This window comes from Homo sapiens, chromosome 2 (assembly GCF_000001405.40).
Source record: "Homo sapiens chromosome 2, GRCh38.p14 Primary Assembly".
Lineage (NCBI taxonomy): Eukaryota > Metazoa > Chordata > Mammalia > Primates > Hominidae > Homo > Homo sapiens.
In genome coordinates, this window is record NC_000002.12 from 132953463 (window position 1) to 132974998 (window position 21536).

Sequence of the window (21536 nt, forward strand, 5' to 3'; positions counted from 1 at the left end):
TTATTACCTTAATTAATTAGTATATTTTTAATTATTATATTTTTGTCTTCTTTCCAACAATGTGAGTATCTCAAGGGCAGAAAAGATGCTCTGTATCTCTTTGTAATTCCAGCATCCAGCAGGAGGCCAGGCCTAGAAATGCCAAAGGAGGGAGAGGAAGGTGTGCTAGAGAGAAGACAGACAGGCAGACAGAGAGAGAGAGAGAGAAGAGAAAAAGAAAGATAATATGCCACAGAAGGGGAAAAAAAAAATAAGCAGTAACATTCTTTCTGGGTGGTATTAAAGTAATTCTGACATTTAAATAACTAAAACACAAGAATTTTGCCAAATCTTTGATGGAATTGATGGAACTGCTGGTTGAAATGCTCCACCCTCCAGAGGCCAAGAGGTGGGCCTACAACTGAAGTCAAGCCAATGAGATCCCTCTCTCTGGACTGTAGGAGCTTTGATGGGATGACTAGGAAAGAGACATGGCCTTTTCACGGTGCTGCTGATTTGGTGCCATCACATAGAAAAGGCCTGCCTGAGAGAGGAACTAGCTCAAATGAAAGCAGAACTGAGAGTTGGAGAAAGCTTTCTGACATTGTCTGAACCCTTGCATTCATCCATGTCTTGTTACAGCTGATTGTCCAGTTATATAGCCATCCTTCCTTTTAGTTAAGTCAGTTTGAGTAGTGTCTCTATGACTTGCAACTGAAAGAGTAATCACAAATAGAATACCTTGAAGGAATACTAAGATTTCCCACAGTATAAAGTTTTCCCAAGATTTTAGGTCTTTGAAATTGTTTCAGCAGCCCACGGACCCTCTCAATATTGTATCCTATACTGAGTGACAATGGTGGCCCCTTGGAGCATGTGGGTTGGGTGCTCTTTGCCTAACTGTGCTGCCTCCATCAGCTTCATTTCTGGGATTCTTGATTTTGGTTCTTAAATAAGAAATCTAACTGTCTATGGACATGACTGCTTTAAAAGATAATGGTATGCTTTAAATATTCTATCACAATATGTATGTATAAAGACTTAGGCACCAGGATGCTCATAAGAACATTATAATATTGAAATACTGTGAACAAGGTAAGCAGCCAACAGTGAGGATTAAATAAATGGCACTCAGTATCCATTGAATAAATTTCTACATAGCCACTGCATCATATTTTTGAAAAGTATTGAATAATGTGGAGAAACAGGCTACTTAACTGTATACAGTGATATTTCATATATCCTAATTTGATTAGGTACAATAATAACAAAAAGACTAGAAATATATATGCTGAAATGCCAATTCCAGCCATTTCTGATTAGTGTAATTACAATTATTTTCTTATGATTTTTCCAATTTTCTGTAATGTGACTATTTACTACTTTTATAATCAGAAAACTGCTAGTACAAAGTTACATAATGACATAGAATGGAATTTTTCTAAAAACTTCAAGCCCCTTTACCAAAGAATAGTTTTTGTCTCAAATCCTAGCTTAGTGATGTTGCTAGGTGACCCACAGTTGGATGTAAAACAATCAAGAGAAAGATAAATGCCAGATACTTTAAGACAGGGATGTCTGGTGTTACCTGTCAGCAAACTGTCATAGAATCTAAAGATTAGAAGGAAACAATTATGAATTTCTATTCAGAATACCACTGGCACGTTGCCTTAATTTCTTTTACATTGTCTTAAGATAGGAGAGGATAAAAGTAAGAAGAACAAGGTAAGAACTTAAAGCCAATTAGAAAGGGAAAGAAAATAGCCCGTTCCTCTCACTGGCAAGGAGACAAAGCCAAACTTGGACATATCCGTGGCCATGTCAGGGGAGCCCTCAAAGGTGGCATGAAGCCACTGAAGAGCACTTTGGATGATGACCTTTCCCCAGGCTTCAAAGCTTGTGGCACTGGGCACATGTGGGAAGGGCCTCTGGATCTAAGTCTGAAGACCCAGGGAAAGTTCTACTTAAGAGGAGGCAGGGGCGCAGAAAGGTTAGATTACAAGGTGGTTAAGATCAGCTTCATCCATCTCTGAAAGGACATGAATTCATTCTTTTTTATGGCTGCATAGTATTCTATGGTGTATATGTGCCACATTTTCTTTATCCAGTTTATCATTGATGGGCATTTGGGTTGGTTCCAAGTCTTTACTATTGTAAATAGTGCTGTAGTAAACATACATGTGCATGTGTCTTTATAGTAGCATGATTTATAATCCTTTGGGTATATATCCAGTAATGAGATTGCTGGGTCAAATGGTATTTCTGCTTCTAGATCCTTGAGGAATCGCCACACTGTCTTCCACAATGATTGAACTAATTTACACTCCCAAAAACAGTGTAAAGGTATTCCTATTTCTCCACATCCTTGCCAGCATCTGTTGTTTCCTGACTTTTTAATGATCAACATTCTAACTGGCTTGAATTGACATCTCATTGTGGTTTTGATTTGCGTTTCTCTAATGATCAGTGATGGTGAGCTTTTTTTCAAATGTTTGTTGGCCACATAAATAAGATCAATGAAAGCAGAGAGTAGAATGTTGGTTACAGAGGCTATGGGGGTGTGAGAATGCAGACAGGGTGGTCAAAGGGTACAAAATCTGTTGATAATAGAGTATTACACATCTCAAAATTGCTAAGAGTCCATTTCAAATGTTCTCACCACAAAAAATGTTAAGTATGAGGTGATGGATATGTTAACTAGCTTGATGTAATTATTACATGTTGTATTATCAATCATAACATCACTCTGCATGCCATAAATGTATCTAATTATAAATTACCAATTTACAATTTTTAAAATGACCAGTGAAAGCTTGTTGGGTTTAGTACAGAACTGGACCTAAGTTGTTTTGATAGCTTTAAATGTCACTCTAAAAGTGGTTTCTGTGGTTCTCAATCCTGGCTGTGCATCTGAATAATCCACAGAGTTTCAGAAAAATACAGATGGTCAGTTTCCATTGTAGACTTAAAAGAGCTGGGATTTCCTGGGTTACATTCTAGACATCTGAGTTTTTAAAAAGCTCTATTTCTTCTGTGGTTTCATCTCCCTAGCCTGCTTGCAGATCTCATTCTTGCATTCATACTTCTCTCTCCCGCATCATCGATTTCGCCCTCTCCACTAGAACACGGCCATTGGCACACGAATGTGCCATACCATCAGCTGCCTTTTGAAGAGTTTCTCTTGTACCCTATTTCTCTTCAGTTTTGACTCTCTCCATGTCTGACCCACTTCAGGCCTGTCTATACATGTCTCCACATGTTTTCCTCCACGCCCACTCCCATCAGAAACTGTTGTTACCGAGGTCATAGCTGACCATGCCTTGCCAGAGCCGAGGATGGATTCTGTGATCCATCTTGCTGGTGCTCTTAGCAGCACTCAACAAGGATACCCTTGGAGCACTTTCTTCTTTAGGCTGCTACAACACTTCACCTTCCATTTTCCTCCTACCACACCAGACACTCTCCCCAGGCTCAGATGCTGGCTCCTCTTCCTCTGCCAGACCTCGAAAAATGGGGAACCTTAGAACTCTGTCCTCTGCCCTCTTCTTGTCCATTTACAGTTACTTCTGATGGGACCTTAATTAGTCCCACAAGGCCGAGTGTCATCTGTATGCTGATGACTCTCAAATCCATATCTCTAGCCCTGACCTGAACTTTGTATTTCCACCTGCCCATAGAACATCATCACTTGAATGCTTAATAGGCATCTCAACTTAACGCGGGCAAAAACCAACAGACAATTGCATGCTAATTTTGCTAAGTCACCTTTCCTCCAAGGCTTGCCTCTCTCAGGAATTTGGTACAACCTCACACTCAGTTGCTAAAACCAAAGAACTAGAAGTTATCCTTCTCACTTTTTTCCTTGTATTCCACATCCAATGGATCCGTAATTCCTAATAGACCTTACTTCTGAAATATATTATCTGGCTATTTCTTACTAGCATAGTATAGTGGAGCTATACATTGGGAGTTCAAATTCTGACTCTCTCACTGACTACATGACCTTGGGCAAAATTTCCAACCTTCTGGGGCTCACTTTCCTCATCTGTAAAATGGGGATAATAGTGCTAACTACTGTTGGGGCTCAGAAAAAATATCCCCAAATGAAAGCCTCAGAAGCCAAAGTTTTTCTCTGATCTTGTCCTCCTGTCTCCCAGCTTCATTTTCCCCTAGTCTAGTCATAGAAACTAGAATCCCTCTTCCCCAAGGCAGGTCAAAGAAACCAGAAAGCTAGACATAAAACCTAAAAAATATTACTCTAATTTTCCTTCTGCTTTTCTATGTAAAATCTGACCATAAGGAAATTATCTGACCTGTCTTGTTTGCTATAGGTCATAAGACCCCTATTCTAGAAGAGGTTTTGCCCCACACCCAGAAGGAAGGAATGCTGCAAGCAGAGGCCAAGAAGAATCTAGACAGGCAGGCCTCACAGGGTTTCCACACTCAGTCTATTACCATTAGATCATACTCTTTTTTTGTACAGTCATCTTTCTACACGGCTCTCTATACTCCGCTGAACCTAAGCATAAAAATGGACAATTTCTCCTGTGTCTTTGAGTCCCCGTTCTGAAGGCTCCTATGTATACACATTGAAAATAAATGTGTATGCCTTTTCTCCTACCAATCAGTTGGCCTTATGTCAATGATTTTCTGTGAACCTCTAGGCAGCCAAGGGCTCCCGCTAGTCCCCATACTACCATAACCCACAGGGTTACGAACATGAAAATAGCATATATAAACATAAATGGTAATCAGAACAGTGTTTGGGATATACTAAGCCTTATAGGAAGGCTTGCCAACATGGTTATTATTATTCCCATTACATCCCTCTAGTCCAATAACATTAATATGGTATGATTATCATTCCCTATTAGTCCTAGGCACCTACCCTAGACTAGTCTACTAATATTGTTTGTTTGAATCTAAAAACAACAACAAAAAATACCTTCTACCTGGTCTCCCTGCCCCTCCTATGTCCCACTATTAGCCCACAAAGCAGAAGGATTTGTCTTTATAAATGAGAAGTTACATCATTGCTTCTTCCCAGTTTAAAATTCTCTAAATGGCTTCCTTTTACATTTATATCATTTTCAGAGTCTTTATTGTGACCATGGCCTATATGGCTTAACCAGGTCTGGCCCTTGTCTACCTCTGTGAACTCATCTTCTTCCATTTTTTAAATCTTGTACCTTGTGTCCCAGGACAGACTTCTTATTTCTGTTCCTTGGACTTGCCAAGCTTTCCAGCATCTTCAGGTGGCCTTTCACCTTTGCAGCTGCCTCCTCTTGCAATGTTCTTCCTCTGATCTTCACACTGCTGTCTCCTTTTTATTTTTTATATTACACACAAATGGCTGATGTCAGAGGTCTTCTCAAGTAAATACCTCTCCTACCCCTAGCTCACATTCTCTCTGCTACTACCTCAATAAACTTTTCTTATTTACAGGCATATAGTTGCCTGTTTGCTTATTTATTATTTCATTTAAGTATATGCTTCCTGTGTCTGCCCACTGGGGTGGGGACCAAAAAAACTGATCTAATCCCTGTGCAAAGAACACGTTTGGCCCATAGAAGATATTTAATATATTTACTATTATTAAATATTATATTATTTATATATAAATATATTAATAATATATTAATAAATATATTATTAATATATTTAATATTAATATATATCTATCGACTACCAGTTCTACAGGTAATTGTGATGCACAGCCAGGTTTGTCTATTTTGAACTACCTAATTTTAAATAGGAATTAATGATTAACAAAATGCTTATGCACAGCACTGTAATTGTCATCATTTCATGGAAAGGTATAATTGAGTAGAAAAAGCTGTTATTCACCTTAACACATTTAATTGCCATATTTTTCTGCACAAAATAAATCATTCCTAGAAGCGGCCAAGTTCTTTCAACCTTGAGGCTATCTAGCTAAGTCATCAGCACATGCTTTTAGGCTTAGGACTCTCAGGTGGTGGCGGGCCTGTTCTCCCCCTGGCTAGAAGCTGAGTATCAGAGATGCCATGGGAGTTGGGAGTGAGCCAAGGGAACATCCAGCTTCACTTTTAGTCAGGTGTGCAGTTGGTCCCTGAGTGGAGAGAAGGGCCACGTGGGAGTGTCAGGAGTGGGGCCTGCAGACAAACAAATCATGTCTTTCAAGGAACATGCCATGAGCAAATCTGGGGCCTGAGTGGGGCAAATGCCCAGGAGTAGGGAACAGGGAAGACTCCAGATGAAGCCAGTGGATCCTGGAGGGCAGGTCTGGGAAGATCCCTTGAATCAGTGGCTTCTGGTGGGGTGGCAGAAAGGAGTGATCCTTTCGTAGAAGGGACCTGAGACATGGCAGTGCTGTTGAGAATGGTGAGCTTTGTTCTAAGTCAAATAAACAGTCTCTGAAACAGCAGCCTTGAAAACCCAAACTTTTAAAATACATAGAAAATGCTACAGTCAGGCACTGAGAAGTTACATAAAATGTGCAAGTGGCATCCAGATTGTCCATGTGTGCCCTATGACACCAATATACACCAAGTGATTTCTCCTCCAGGCACCAGGACCCTAAACACAAATTACAATTGAAGCCCAGGGGAAGCAGTGGCTGGGTAGTGAGGGTAAACGGTCTACTCTTCACCATGAAAAGCTGGCAACAGCTGAAACCAACGTACTCAGTAGAGAAAATCAGGCTAAAAAGAGAAAGAGAGAGAGTGTGTATAATTATAATTTTTATAATTTTGACTGTTGGCCCTGGAGGCGTTTTTAGGAAGGTAAAGGTCTTAATTAGCACAATATTTTGCTGAGCAGGCGGATGATATGGAATGAGCCCATGACATGGCATGCAGAGACCTAGACAGCTCTGCAAATTAAAAGACAGAACTTGGCTGTGGGAGAAGGTGTCTGAGGGAGAGGAGAGTAAGTGGGACAGAGCTGGCCACGTTCTAAGGCGGGATCTGGGAACTGAGGAGAAAGGCTACTGCGAAACGCCCTGCAACCAAAGGACTGGGAGGAAACAGAACTATCAAAAGACAGAGTTGAAGGCCCTTAGCCTCCAGAATATTCTGCCATGACCCCATATCCTTCCTAGGGTTGGATTTTGGAAAAATCAAGTAAAGGGGGCTCTGTTTCATAAGAGGTTGGTGCGTGGAGAAGAAAGAGGAATTGATTGACGAATGTGAGTCGGAACTTACCCCAGAAATGGTCACAAGAGGGAATAAATAATACAGGGGTGGCAGCTGGAGGGTGATTTGCTTAGACAATATTAACTTAATTTTCAAAGTCAGGGGCTCCTCAAGTTGTTTTTGAATATTACTGTCACAGTAATCAAGAACGTAATATAGAAGTCATCTCTGCATTTCATTTTCCACACCTTCTTAGAACCTGTTAGGGGAGCAGGAATTAAAGAAGACTGCTGTCCACCACCCTGAAAATCATTCCTTTCTGTGATCCACAACACCAGGGGCCAAGAGATTAGGGCATACAAATATGGTCATTTCAAAAATACGCTGATGGGGTGCTGGTGGTATATTGGTGAGCCTAGCTGCCTTCCAAAAATATGCTAATAGAAAAATTCTTTGTTTTTTTAAAATCTTGTTGTATATCAAATTTTTCCAAAGTAATTTTTGACACATTATAATTAATTCCCCTGCAATCTTCCAGGGGAGCATTTCATTAAAGCATAAAAATCCACATGGGGTCTGTGACCAGCTCTGACTGCAGTCTGTCAAAATCAGTTCTCTATTTTCCTACAATAATGTTTAACCCATGCAAAGATCCTAGACACTGAGAATATGGAGCAAATATTTTAAAATAAAAAAAATTAAGTAGCATATAAAATTCATATGAAAATTGAATTACATGTATGACAAAATGACATCTATATATAAGAAGATATATTTATATATATTTACAAACATATATTTGTATTTCTTATTTTACATACTTTATTATAAAATGAAATAATCTTCTTATTACCTGTTCAAGTAGAAGATAGTAAGATGTGAAGGCAAGGAGAAAGTTCATTTAATATTGAACAAAGAATTTTAGGAAACAAGCAGTGACACTATGACTATAGGAAAATTAAAAAATAAAATAGTTTTATGAATTAAAATAGTGGGTCTTAATGGCACTTACAGATATCATCTATTGCATTCAACTAATGCTGGAATCAAGAGTTGTTGCCTGAAGTGTAAAGAACTCTGTGGAAGGAAAAAAGATACTGCTTCTCTTTTACTCACTACAGTTTAAGAAACATTCGCTGCCAAATACATTTTTTAAAGACCTCTTAGCTTAATGAAATAAAATGTACTTTTCAATGTTGTCTCTAACAACAACATGAACTAAGATTAATTTTCTCTGTAGTCATAAACAAAAACTAACAATTTAAGTACACTGTTCTCTGGGAGTAAGAAATGATAATATCAGCTCTTTCCTATTGTGAATCTAGTTAATTCAACCTCAAGATAAAGTTATGAGTTTCTTAAAACTCAAATAGGAACCTCAGTTTCCCTTGAGAAAGCTTTCCTATCTTTTATAGTGACTATCTTTAAAAAATGACGAAAGAATGAGAACCCTTGGGGAGACAAGGGTGATTCCTAGCTCTTTGCCCAGAGGGAGTTGCTAGCGATTCCTTTAGTTGATATTTGTTCTGCTCTGTGTTTGAAGCTACTTGCTTACCTGTCTGCCTTCGGTCACACCTGTGTGGAGTAGCCCAACTCTTTCATTCACAGTCCTTATATTGTTAATCACTGTGCCCAGGTAAGTAGGAACAAAATTAAGGAAAAGGAGCAGGTTTGGTGTGGATGAATGAAAGAGACTATGCACCAGGCATCATTTTAAAAATAATTACACACGTAATCCTCGTTACTTCCCTGTAAGGCTAATTACTATTACTATCCCCATGCTTTCAGCTGAGGGAACAGAGGCATGGGGAGCCTAAGTAACTTTGATGGTTTCAAATCTAGAAAGTAGTCGAACAGGGATTCAAATCAAACCCCAAGAATTGAGCTTCAAAGTGCATAATCTCACCATTCTGCTTTATTATCACCGAGGAAATTAGTGTAAAATGGATATGCTCATTATAGACAATGTGGTAGATCTGAGGTAGAATTGCAGAAAGCAAGCATAGAAAACAAGGCCCCTCCAGGTCTTTTTGTTTTTTTGTTTGTTTGTTTGTTTGTTTTTTTGAGTCTGTCACCCAGGCTGGAGTGCAGTGGCGCAATCTTGGCTCACTGCAAGCTCCGCCTCCCAGGTTCACGCCATTCTCCTGCCTCAGCCTCCTGAGTAACTGGGACTACAGGCACGTGCCACCACGCCTGGCTAATTTTTTTGTATTTTTAGTAGAGACGGGGTTTCACCTTGTTAGCCAGGATGGTCTCCATCTCCTGACCTCGTGATCCGCCTGCCTCGGCCTCCTAAAGTTCTGGGATTACAGGCGTGAGCCACCGTGCCCAGCCTCCAGCTCTTCTTCCTTTATGCTAGTAGAGTTTTCAGGATTCTGTAGACTCTATGGTAGAACTGCGTTTTTAGATGTTGGGTGAAGGCCCTTTATAAGCTTATCGAAAGGACGTAAGTGAACTCATAGAAAAAAAAAATCTTTGCTGAGTCTTTAAGCATGTGACATTTCAATCAAGAACTAGTAACTAGAATGGTCTTTGATGACTGCTATAAAAATTCATGAATTAACACTTGAAATAATGTCGAATGCCACGAAGTAACAGACGGGTGTTATCATATCCCGGTCTGGAGGTCTCTGGAGGATGTCAGTGCTCCAAAAATCTCCTTAAGTCTCCTTAGCCAGTTTCAGCTCACTGTTAGATGCTTTACACATTTAATTCCTGCACGTTTTTTTTAAAGATATGACTATACTGCTTATAAAATCTCTGTGTGTGTGTGTCCAATCATCTTTACATACTATTAAATATTTTGCTTAGTCATTCATTCATTCATTCATTTTACCAGTTACTGGGGAAAACAAAGTAAAATATCACATAGCCTCTTCCCCCAAGGAGCTTGCAATTTTAGGAACTAATCCAGTTTGAGGGCTGAATTTAAGTTAAAATCAATTACTGCCCTATGTACTCCTTTTAAAACAACATTAGGTCAAGACCCTTTCAGTGCTAACTTTTTGCTCATTGTAGACAAATCTCAGCAGGAAATCGTAGATCATATTAGTCTGGGAGAACTCAAAAGGGAAGATTTATACTCACTCAAAACCAGTGCCAATAAAAGAAGCAGAATACTGTTATTTTTCTTGAAGAGTGTAAAAATTGCTTCATTTCTTACCTCTAGAGCTTTCAATCTCTCTAATAGCAATTTGGTCTTTTCTTTTCCCTCATCTGTACTGCTGCTTTCACTCCTCGAATCCTCATCAACCACCATGTGAAGATCTTCCAAAGCTTCCTTATGTTTTCTCTCTTCCTCTGACAGCTTTTCCTGAAGCAAGAAAGAATTACTGTTTTCAATAATCTCCAGTGAAAAATAAGCATGAGTGTGAGGCTGAAAAGGCTGGAATCATTCTCCTGCGTGTGCATTCTTCCGGGGCTGGGAGTTTGCTAAACAAATTCTGAGAGGGGTTTATTTTAAAAAATGAAGTAGATATTTTTACTGACCCCTGGAAGGACAAGGCCATTGGGTTGCCATCTCTCAATGCAGTTGTCCTTTGCACAGTTGGAGAAGTGACTAAGCCAGCAAAGCCATAGGTGGAGTCATGTGGTTAATCCAATTTTATCTGCACAATGAAACTCAGCTATACTGCAAACTGTGGAAAAATACATCAATTTTGATACCTTCATTTGTGAAAGGCATAGCTCCTCAAGATAGGGTCATTAAAGTCACTGGACATGCAGCCATTTAATTAAAAGAATATAAAATATCACAAAATACTGAAATAAGAGTGATTTCAGAATTCAAAGCTCACACCTATTAGTTCTTTCAGCTCAATAATGACACAACTTTTAAGGATCCCTCAGTCCCTTTCTGTAACACTGTTCAGCATTCGTACTATGGCCTTGAGGCAGACATAAAAAGTTATTTTGTCTTGACTCACTGTTGGAAGCCCCTCACTCAACCTTGTCTCTGGAAGCTTTTTGAAAGTTGAGAAGTACTAAGTTAAGCCTCATGAATAGCTCTTGTTTTCAAGGGAAAAAGAAGTATCAAGAGATTACCATATTAAAAAAAAAAGGATCCATTTTGTGCATGGAGACTCTTGCTCCCCACAATCAGGTGACATCCTTCCATTACACTATTTAATTCTAAACACAATGCTGCAGAAATCTTTGCTTTAATGTAGCTGGTTGTCAACCATCTGAACAAAACTGGATTATCAGTGGTAAAAGACTTCTCTATATTTTAATACTAAACTAAGATCTATTTGCAAATACAGAAGCACAAAACGTATCATTCTTACCCTCAAGGAGCTCATACAATCTACTTAGAAAAGAAGAACATAAGAAGAAAAAAAAAACCACGGCGTTTTCAAACTGTGCTCATCAAGGTACTTTGAAGGTTCCAAAAATATTTAAGTTACTTTTTGAAAACAAATTATGAATTATGTAAAAATATGTCTTAATGTATATGTATACATTTATACATATATATGTATCAGTGTATACGTGTGTGTATATATAAATCACTTTAGACCACAAAGTCAGTGAATTCATCCATGTGAACCTGTTATGTACAGATTTCAGGATCTAATTTCTCCTGTCATCTCTGTATATATAAATGCATAGTTGATTAGAAAGGTTGTAGTTCTTTATGAAATCAGGCCCAAGCATGTGTAACTGTATACCATGTGCAGGTGTGAGTTCAGCTCAGATAAATGCCAGGCAAGTTTAAGATGTACATCCACAGGCCAGGAAACAAGTCCAGGTCATGGTAGCATTTTTATAGCTTTGATTTTTTAGGGTTTGGTCACCTGTCAGACTTACATTTCCAAGATAAGGAATATGAAGTTTGTAGATACTGTTCCTAAACAAAGAAGTACCTTTACTTCTCTTTTGTGGTTTGGGATGACTGTAAGTAAACACTAACTTAGGTTGATGAAGCAAGCTGTTTTAAAATTATCTTCATTTTACTTTTCTGTATATAGTTTTTCATTCATCACTCAGCATATGCCACTTATATTTTATACATATACATATGTATATATGCACACATACATATATCCACACATACACATACACATATACACAGTCACACATTCCTTAGGAGATTTCATCATTGTGTAAACATCATAGAGTGTATTTACACAAACCTAGATGGTACAGCCTACTACACACCCAGGCTATATGGTACCTAGGTTAGAATCCTATATACCATGTTACTGTACTGAATACTGTAGGCAACTGTAACACAATGGCAAGTATTTGTGTATCTAAACATATCTAAACATAAAAAAGGTACAGTAAAAACATGGTATAATCTTACGAGACCACCATCACACATCTTTATAAGGTACATGACTCTTTGTGTGTGTGTGTGTGTGTGTGTGTGTGTGTGTGTGTGTATCTGTAGAAGTATCCTGTAATAATCAGAGCCCAATAGCTAATTAAAACAAAGAAAAGCCATTGGGGTGGTAAATGAAAAGCCAAAAGACTTTGGAATGTGACAGCCAGATTTCAGGTCTAACATTTATTTAGCAGTTTGGCAAATGATCTTACACAAACTTCCTTTATTTTTGGAAATGGAGACTCGCTCTGTTACCCAGGCTGGAGTGCAGTGGTGCGATCTCAGCTCACTGCAACCTCCACCTCCCAGGTTCAAGCAATTCTCCTGCCTCAGCCTCCTGAGTAGCTGGGATTACAGGCACCTACCACCATGGCCAGCTAATTTTTGTATTTTTAGTAGAGGCAGGGTTTCACCAGGTTAGCCAGGCTGGTCTCGAACTCCTGACCTCAGGTGATCCACCCTCCTCAGCCTCCGAAAGTGCTGGGATTACAGGCCTAAGCCACCACACCTAGCCTTGGACAAACTTTTTAATTTCAATAAGTCTTGATGTCTTTGTCTCCTAAACTCCTAAATGAGGCTAATGTCAACATATATACACTCACATACCATATAGTGAATTCGTGTCATTCACAATGGTTATGTTCTCTAAAATTTTCATGAACAGTACACCAACTTAGGAAATGTGAAATTATTGTTCCTAGGGGACATACAGAGTTAGGTTCCTGTGAGCCTCTGGTCACATTTTCATTAACCAGCCATTATATAATCTTGTTTTATGTGTATTTCTATTTAAAGACACCTTACATTTAACATATACTGTTGATTCATTCACACTGACCTAACAGCCAACAGCACTGTAACTCATCCTGAAGGAAGCTTATCCGACACACATGTATTTTATCTGTAGGGCGCATCACAGCCTGCATGTGGTTAGGAACACCAGACAGCACTTAAGCACTACACTCAGGGCCATGTCAAACAGTGAAATCACCAACAAAAAGCACAAAATACAAAAAGCATATCACTAAATAGACCACAAACAGGATACTAGTTTATTGCATGAAAGCTAAAACAACAAGGCACAGTCAGTGCTGCCTTGCTCCATCTCAGCTAGTAACGTGAACCTTGGGTGACTAATTTTTCACCATTCCATGTATGTTCACGAATGACCACAAAAGTGACACAAGTATGGATTTTTGGGTTGCAAATACATTTTTGTGAGTAGAAAATTTGCAAATGCAGAATCTGCAAATAATGAGGAGCCACTGCCCTATCGTACACACACACACACACACACACACACACACACACACACATACACACACACATACACACACTCTTAAAGTACCTAGATACAGTGCCCAAGTATTATGATGTAGAAATAATTAAAGACAATATGGATTATGTATCAGTATTTAGATTACATAAAACGTCAGGGTCACTTTACATAATTTGAAGAAAGGGCAATCAATGAAAGCTGTGAGACATGATTCTATGGAAACTGAATGTGACTCATACTCTAACACAGTGATACAACTTAAATAGTTAGAGAGGCATAGGGTCGGTGTTTGGTGAAAGAGAAAATTTTAAAAGGCTCCTAGTCAAGAGTAAGTTTTGTCCTTACAGGTTTATAAGGAAATCAGTTTGATTATAATAGAGAAAAGCTTTTTGAGAGAATAGTTGAATAATAGGATTGGGGAGAAAAGGAGGGGGAGAGGATGCTTGGAAATGAGACAAAAATTCAGATACAATTCACTCATTTGTTCATCCAACAAATGTTTTGTTAAACATGGATTACTGGCCATTTGCTGATCTAGCTAATGGAGTATGGAAAACAAGACAAAGTTCCTATATTCCATGAAATTATATTCTAATGTTGGTAAACATGACAAACTCCAAATCAAATCTGTAAGTAATATAAGGTATTAGTAGCTGGTGGTAAATGCTATGAAGAAAATAATATCATCTGATAGAGAGTGGTGTGGTTAGGGGCAATGTTAGATGTGCTAACAACAGAGTGAGGCTGAGTGAGGAGGTGGCCATTACAGCAAAGGCCAAATGATGAGGAGGAAGTAGCTGTGCAGTGGTTTGGGGAAGAGCATTCCCAGCAGAAGGACTAGCAAGGCAAATACTCGTGGCAGGGCCAGGCCTGCCTTGCTGGCCAGCTGAGGGAGGGTCTGTGGTGGAGCATAGTGTCTAAAAGAGGAAGGCTAGCAGGAAATGAGATCAGAAAGAGAGCTGGACCATAGAGGGTCTTTCTAGGCATAGGAAGAAGTTTGGATTTTATTCTAAGTGCACTAAAGAGGAACTGAAGTCTAGACGTAGGGGAGTGGTAGGTTCTGATTTACATTTTAGAAACATCATCCTGACTGCTGCAATGGAGAATGGGCTGTGGAAGGAAGGAGCTAGGAGACTAGTTGGAAAGTCTTTATACAGAAGGAAATAAAAATCAGGAATATTTTGAAGGGATTGAATCAGGACTTACCAAAAGCAGTTTTTACGGTGGTTCAGAAACTACCACAGATGATGGGTCAGATGCCCTGAATTCAGTGCTTAGATTTTACAACTTTGGAACTTTCTGGGAAAATCATTCCAACTTTTTAGGCCTCAGTTTCCCCCAGAGATAAGGTGAGGAGTTGGACTCAATGTCTCTTCCAGTGTTAAAGTTCTAAGAATTCAATTAAGATACAGTTTTCAGAAAGAAAACGTTGTCAAGGCACTCAGTGGTAGCAGAAATGACAAGAGAACAGAAAAAAGCACCTCTACATTTTGTAATAAGAAGGTTGTTAGTGGGAACTTGAGAGCTGTTTGACTAAAGTGTGACAATGGTACCCAAATTGTCAGTGGTTAAGCAAAAAGTAAAAAGGGAGAAAATAGAGGCAATTTTCTCAGATGCTCATTTGAAAGTTTGGCAGGGAAGGAAATCTAAAGAACTGTAGCTGAAGGGCATTGTGGAGGCAAGTGGAAACCTTTTTCAAGATAGAAAAAAATGAGGTTGTCTGAAGAACTAAAAAGAAGAGGGAGCACCAGAGAGAGTAGCAAAGGTGGGAATGTACGAAGAGATTTCTAAAGCCAAGAAGGCAGGGGATGAAGGGCACTGATAGAGGAGCCAAGGTTTGGAAAATGCAGCTCCCTGTAAAATATCACTGACTTATTTACTTATTTATTTTGAGATGGAGTCTCCCTCTGTTGCCCAGGCTGGGGTGCAGTGGTGCAATCTCGGCTCACTGCAACCTCCGCCTCCTGGGTACAGGCGATTCTCCTGTCTCAGCCTCCCGAGTAGCTGGGATTACAGGCAGGTGCCACCACACCAGGCTGATTTTTGTGTTTTTAGTAGAGATGGGGTTTCATTATGTTAGCCAGGCTGGTCTGTAACTCCTGACCTCAGGTAATCCACCCACCTCAGCCTCCCAAAGTGCTGGATTACAGGCATGATCCATACTGCGCCCATCCCCCTGTAAAATATCACTTACAGTTTAATTTCTCAGTTAGCATTTCTAAATCATTAGTGTCTAGCCTGAATTCTTAGAGAACAAGGAATTGAGTACAAGCAGCTCATTTGGGAGATGCAGGAAACACCAGTAGGGAGGTAGGGAAGTGACTCAAGGAAAGGAAGAATTATCTGACCCCAGGGTGAGAGAGCTGAGGTGTTGGTGTCCCAACCCTGGAGGAGTCATTAGTTGAGGCCAGCTCTTGAGGCATTCATTTCCTGGCTCTTCTAGCCTGCTGGAGGCAGTGAGGCTCTGTGTAGTTCTCAAGTAAAAGTGCTCTCTGACACAGATCCTTGCAGCTGGAAGTCGCAGGGCCACTTTGAATGGTCCTGGGGTGCAGGTACTGCTGATGTGCTCGTGACAAAGAGAGTTTAAAGCTGCTCTGATGTAACGCCACCCAGGACCAAAAGCCACATCCGCATGCTGCTCACAGACTAGTCACTGACCTAAAGGCATACTTGCCTGTGCTCTACATGACAAAATGCCCTGATGCAAATCCAGAAGGTGGGGTTCTCTCTTGTTTCTTAATCATTTAAGATTAATCTTTTGTTTCTTAATCATTTACCAGTGAGAGCATTAGAATATAAGGTAACATTGAGAAAGAGAGAAAATGGAAGGGACGTATTTAGAGTAAGTGAATGAGCAAAAGAAACAAATAGGTGGAGACAGAGGTAGAGGAAAGACCTGAGAGAGCGGAGAGAAACGTGGCTATACCCTATCCACAGATCACCATAGTCCATTTTAGATAGACTAGCAGTTGGATTTATCCTACACTCATAAAAACACGACAGTATTTTTTAAAAAATCAAGTGTATGGGTTCTATCCAAAAATAAATAACTTATTTTAATCAGAAAAAATATCACAAATTTTAGGTCCTTTGCCAATTAAGAATCTGAGATATACACAGCAAAAAGGATATCAGACAGAGAGGTCAAAAATGTGTAGTGCTAAATACTGTGTATTTGTCTTACGAACCTCCAAAAAGGAAATAAGAAAAATTAGCCAGGCCCACTCATGAGGATGTCAAAGTTGAAGAGAATAAGTTGATTCTAGAGGTGACCTGTTTTCATTTTTATGGAGTTTAATCAAGAGTGAATTCTATAAAAGTGAAGCTACCATACAAACAACTTTCACTCCCCACATATTTCATATATGATTGAGACCATAAGCTTGTTTACCTCAACAAATACCAGCTAGAACTCAGAAAGCTAAAGATTTAGGAGCTCAGTTTGCATCGAAGGGTTTATATTAAATTTCACCTTGTCGCTACATAAAGCAATCCTTAGAGCTGTAAGTTTCCCTAAGTGGTATCTAGGGTAATGATTCACCTTTGGCAGAGCACTCACCTTTTGTTCTCAAGCAGTCAACATCATCAGGCCTATGTAAAATAACATCAATCAACACAAAGTTCTGGAACGCATCAAGTGAACTCAGATGACAGCCCAGGAAGCTTGGTTAGTCCTAAGAGAGGACAGCATGGCTCTTCATGGATGGCCAGCTGCTGCTCAGTCTATACCCTTCCCCAAAATGTGTAAATGTGACTTCTCCATCTTCTAGTCACTGGCTTTCCCCATTCCAGGACACAGGAGGACTCAATCAATATTCCATAAGGTTATTTTGTAATTCATTAATCAAGCTATTCAATTAATATTTGCTGAGCAGTTCCTACATGCTAGGCGCTGAGGAATATGCCAGGCATACAAAAGTGAAAAATACACGTGTGGCCCCTGTTCTCATGGAGCTTACAGTCTTGCAGAAGAAGATAGCTATTAATCAAAATGTCAGGAGCAAACATAAAATAGCACTGTAGTGTGTCCTGTGAGGAAGAGTTTCAAGGTGCTTTGAGAACAGATAATAGAGCGATATAAATGAGAGGTTGGGAGAGGTTTCCCAGAATGAGGTGAGATCCGAGGGCACAGTGAGACCAGGAAATAACCACGATGTGAGAAGAGGGGAGGGCAACTGAGAAGTCCAAAAGTAGGCCAGGGTCTCTGGGGAGGGAGATGAGGCTGGATGGGCAGATGGGGCTAGGCCACTTGTCAAGGAGTTTTGTCTTTACCCTCAGGGAAATGAGAAGTCACTGAATGGAATGCCACTGACTATTTTCAAGTATGGCAGCAGTGAGGGTAACACAGTCAGATTTGAGTTCTGAAATCTCTCTCTGATATGGTGTGGATGGGTTGGGGGAAGTTAACACAGATGTCAGAAAAACAAGATGCTGCTGCAATAGGCTATGCGGGAGTTGAAGGAACCATTATTAAAACAACAGTCTCACAAAATGAGAACCCACAGTTTGTAAGGCGTTCCATAATTCTGATTCTTCAGTATGTACTTCCTCTAACAGTGACAAGCAACATTTCCTTATTTCAATGTTTCTCAGAGAGTGGGCCATCAGCCACCAGCATCAGAGTTGACAGGGGCTGGGGGAGGAGAAGAAGTACGGCTTGTTTAAAACGCAGATTCCTCGGTGCACTCTGGCCCTAGTGACTCACAATACCTGGGAGTGGGGACAGGAATCTTTCATTTTAGAGAACACTACAGGTAATTCTAATCCAAGACTAAGTGCGTCTGGACAAACACACTTGAGCATAGAACATAAATCACTTTTACTTTAGATAAGCTTTTGAGGTTGCACATTTGATTTAATTTCTATTATTAACAAGTAAAATGAACAGATAATTAATCATCCAAAGCAACATTCCCTGGAGAGTAAGAGTGGGTGTGGCCATTAATAGTATACTGGAACAGTAGGTGTAACCAAACAAGCTGATACACATTTACCTATAGCTTGCTAACCCTACTTCAGTAATAGATGTCCTATGCAAACTACTCTACCTTCAAGTGATGAGAGACCCCTCAAAATTTATATTTGAGTTCTGAGACTCTGGGGCTCACTATCTTATGATTGTTCCTTTTCATAGAAGCAGATGGTATTAACAGCCTGTAACTACTTTCAGTGGCTTCTAGAGCAAAGGGCATTGAGGCTCCAAGAGACAGGTTCTATGTTTGCAACAATGAAGGGAAACATGTCTACAACTCTCTTGCTTAGAAAGCCTTAGTAATTTAGGCTGGGCGCGGTGGCTCACACCTGTAATCCCAGCACTTTGGAAGGCTGAGGCAGGTGGATCATGAGGTTAAGAGATTGAGACCATCCTGGCCACCATGGTGAAACACCATCTCTACTAAAAAAAATACAAAAATTGGCCAGGCATGGTGGCTCACACCTGTAATCCCAGCACTTTGGGAGGCTGAGGCGAGTGGATCATGAGGTCAAGAGATCGAGATCATCTTGGCCAACATGGTGAAACCCCGTCTCTACTAAAAAAAATACAAAAATTAGTTGGGTGTGGTGGCATGCACCTGCAGTCCCAGCTACTTTGGAGGCTGAGGCAGGAGAATCACTTGGACCCAGGAAGCAGAGGTTGCAGTGAGCCAATATTACACCACTACACTCCAGCCTAGCAACACAGTGAGACTCCATCTCCAAAAAAAAAAAAAAAGCTTTAGTAATTTAAAAACAATGCCTGCTTGCCCCTTGTTTTAATTAAATAAAGAGAGAAATCTGCCCATCAGTGTCCCAAATGAGGTAGAAAAGTGGCAACTTGTTGTCACAATAGGCTCACAATTTCTCTCCTAAGAAAAATAAGAAGAAAAGTTGGAACATTTTCATCCCAACTCCAATACTCAGTTCCACTGGGTGGATATAATTGCCTAGTTTTGTGTACAAAGGCTTAACCTCAACACGGTGGCCCTTCTGCCTTCTACACCGTCACTGGGGAGTGACTCTAGGTCTGTCTGAGTCTAGGACTGTGAAGATAACTAAAGAATCCCAAATTATGGCAGAGGGGATAGGCAGTATATATCACACTCGGACACACCTTGGTATTTCATTTGACAGTCAACCTTCTTGCGGATCATCAAGCACCGTCTCACTAGGATCTAAAAGTCTATTCTTCTCCAGGGTAGAGACATCTAGCCCCATTTTCAGTAAGCCTTAGAACAAGTAGAAGAAAGAAATCTGCATTCCCTCCTAGCTCTGCCACTAGCCAGCTGTGTAATTTTAGTTATCACATAAATTCTCTGTCCCTCAATTTCTTCATCCATAAAATAAAATGCACAAACATAGACTCACTCAAAGGTCTCTTCTCACTTTAAATTTATACAACTTTGATCATCTGTAAAAACTCAACCTTGAGAAATAAATACTTAAAACACTGCTGAAGTTCAGGGGTTTTTAATACATAATTTCATTAAGATTAGACCTGCCTAGAAGATTCCCTGCATAATAAAACTTTCGTGCTTCTTTTCCAGAAGTGTATTTCTATCTTCCCATTTCCTCACCTTCTTGGAAAAAAAAAAACACAAAAAAACAAAAAAGAAAACCTTCTCTTTTTGCTGTGTACTTTTCTTGGGCCCTAAGGTTAAAGCTACCTGTAAGAAACAAAAGGCCAGTGAGAGTTTAGTGAAAGATACTCCTAACACTTTCCAAAAATCATGCCTAATATAAGCCCTTTCTAATGGCATTTGCTTATGGGAAAATAGTCCCAAGTAGCTCTTGGTTGCAAGGCCTTAAAAAAATAAAGACAATTCACTCATCTATTTTTATTATTACTAACTCTGGTGGTGGACACAAAGCATCCATGTAGTAACACTGCACCTATCCTGACGGTAATAACAGCTACCCTCTGTTTCCAACTCACTCATTATTTTCTGATGGGGACTATCCTTAAATCTTAGCACTGTAGGGGGAAAAACTCTAAAGTACTTAGTTTTTTAACTTGATGGCAAAATGAAATTACAGGGATATGAAGAAACATCCAACTTTAGGAACTAGTCATTTGTAGAAGTTAAAACAGAACTTGTTCATTTTGAAAATGTAACCATGTGTCAAATCCACCTACTAATTCATAGCAACAATATAAAAAGCTATAATTTAGGACTGTTCACATGAGGCAGAGATCAGGGTGGTGTTAAAATGAAATATGCTCTTTCCAGAACACAAAAGACATAATAAATAACGATTCATATTTGTATAACATCTCAGGGTTAAACCAAGTGAGTTCAGACATACAATTTTACATATGGCAAGGGCGATATAGGGCAAATATTCTGGACTCCCTTTACAGACAAGGAAACAGCCTCTAATGGGTTGTTAGGTGACCCGTTTAATAGTAAGTGGCAGAGCCAGAATTTAAATACAGTTCCGATTTTGGACGTCATGCTCTTTCCACAGACTCGGTGACCTCTTTTGGACTTTGACATGCATGTACAGATCTATCCCTAACGGTAGTAATTCTATCTGAGAATCTGTGATCTTTAGCCAAGCGTGAACCATGCTACTGGCAGCGTTTCTCCCAAGGCTCCCAGGCCATTCCTCTACGGAGTTGGTGTTTGTATCAGAAATGTCAGATCTGGCCTCAGGTGACTACTAGCAGAATAGTTTTAACAAACCACCACCACTTCCATAGTTAATGATGACACAATTAGTTCAAAACATAAACACATACCATAATAGGAGCTAAATGGAAATGCAGAGAGGCCAGCCGTCTGGCTGACAGCTGCTCCAGCGTGCCCTGGTTGTTTCAGCTTCTGTGATTTATTTACTCATTTGTTTTCTGGTG

At 39.7% G+C, this 21536-nt stretch overlaps 1 protein-coding gene across 20 annotated transcripts in view, besides 1 other annotated feature; it reads right to left on the reverse strand.

The window, feature by feature from the left end:
- Positions 1–21536, reverse strand: part of NCKAP5 (NCK associated protein 5) — a 1003049-nt gene that overhangs the window by 281675 nt on the left and 699838 nt on the right. For 19 of the 20 annotated variants that reach the window (XM_017003975.3, XM_011511100.4, XM_047444134.1 and 16 more), the window contains one exon: positions 10258–10407. In XM_017003975.3, coding sequence (XP_016859464.1) covers positions 10258–10407 — 150 coding nt within the window. Of the gene's footprint in view, positions 1–10257; positions 10408–10583; positions 11492–21536 lie in introns of those variants that run through there. The other variant, XM_017003978.3, reaches the window with a different exon arrangement.
- Positions 2689–3888: an enhancer, noted in NCBI's record as "MED14-independent group 3 enhancer chr2:133713724-133714923 (GRCh37/hg19 assembly coordinates)". NCBI's record gives its function as "activates an origin of replication core promoter dependent on BRD2, BRD4, P300/CBP and CDK7 cofactors, and independent of MED14, by STARR-seq in HCT116 cells {active_cell/tissue: HCT116}" and the evidence as "EXISTENCE:reporter gene assay evidence [ECO:0000049][PMID:35650434]".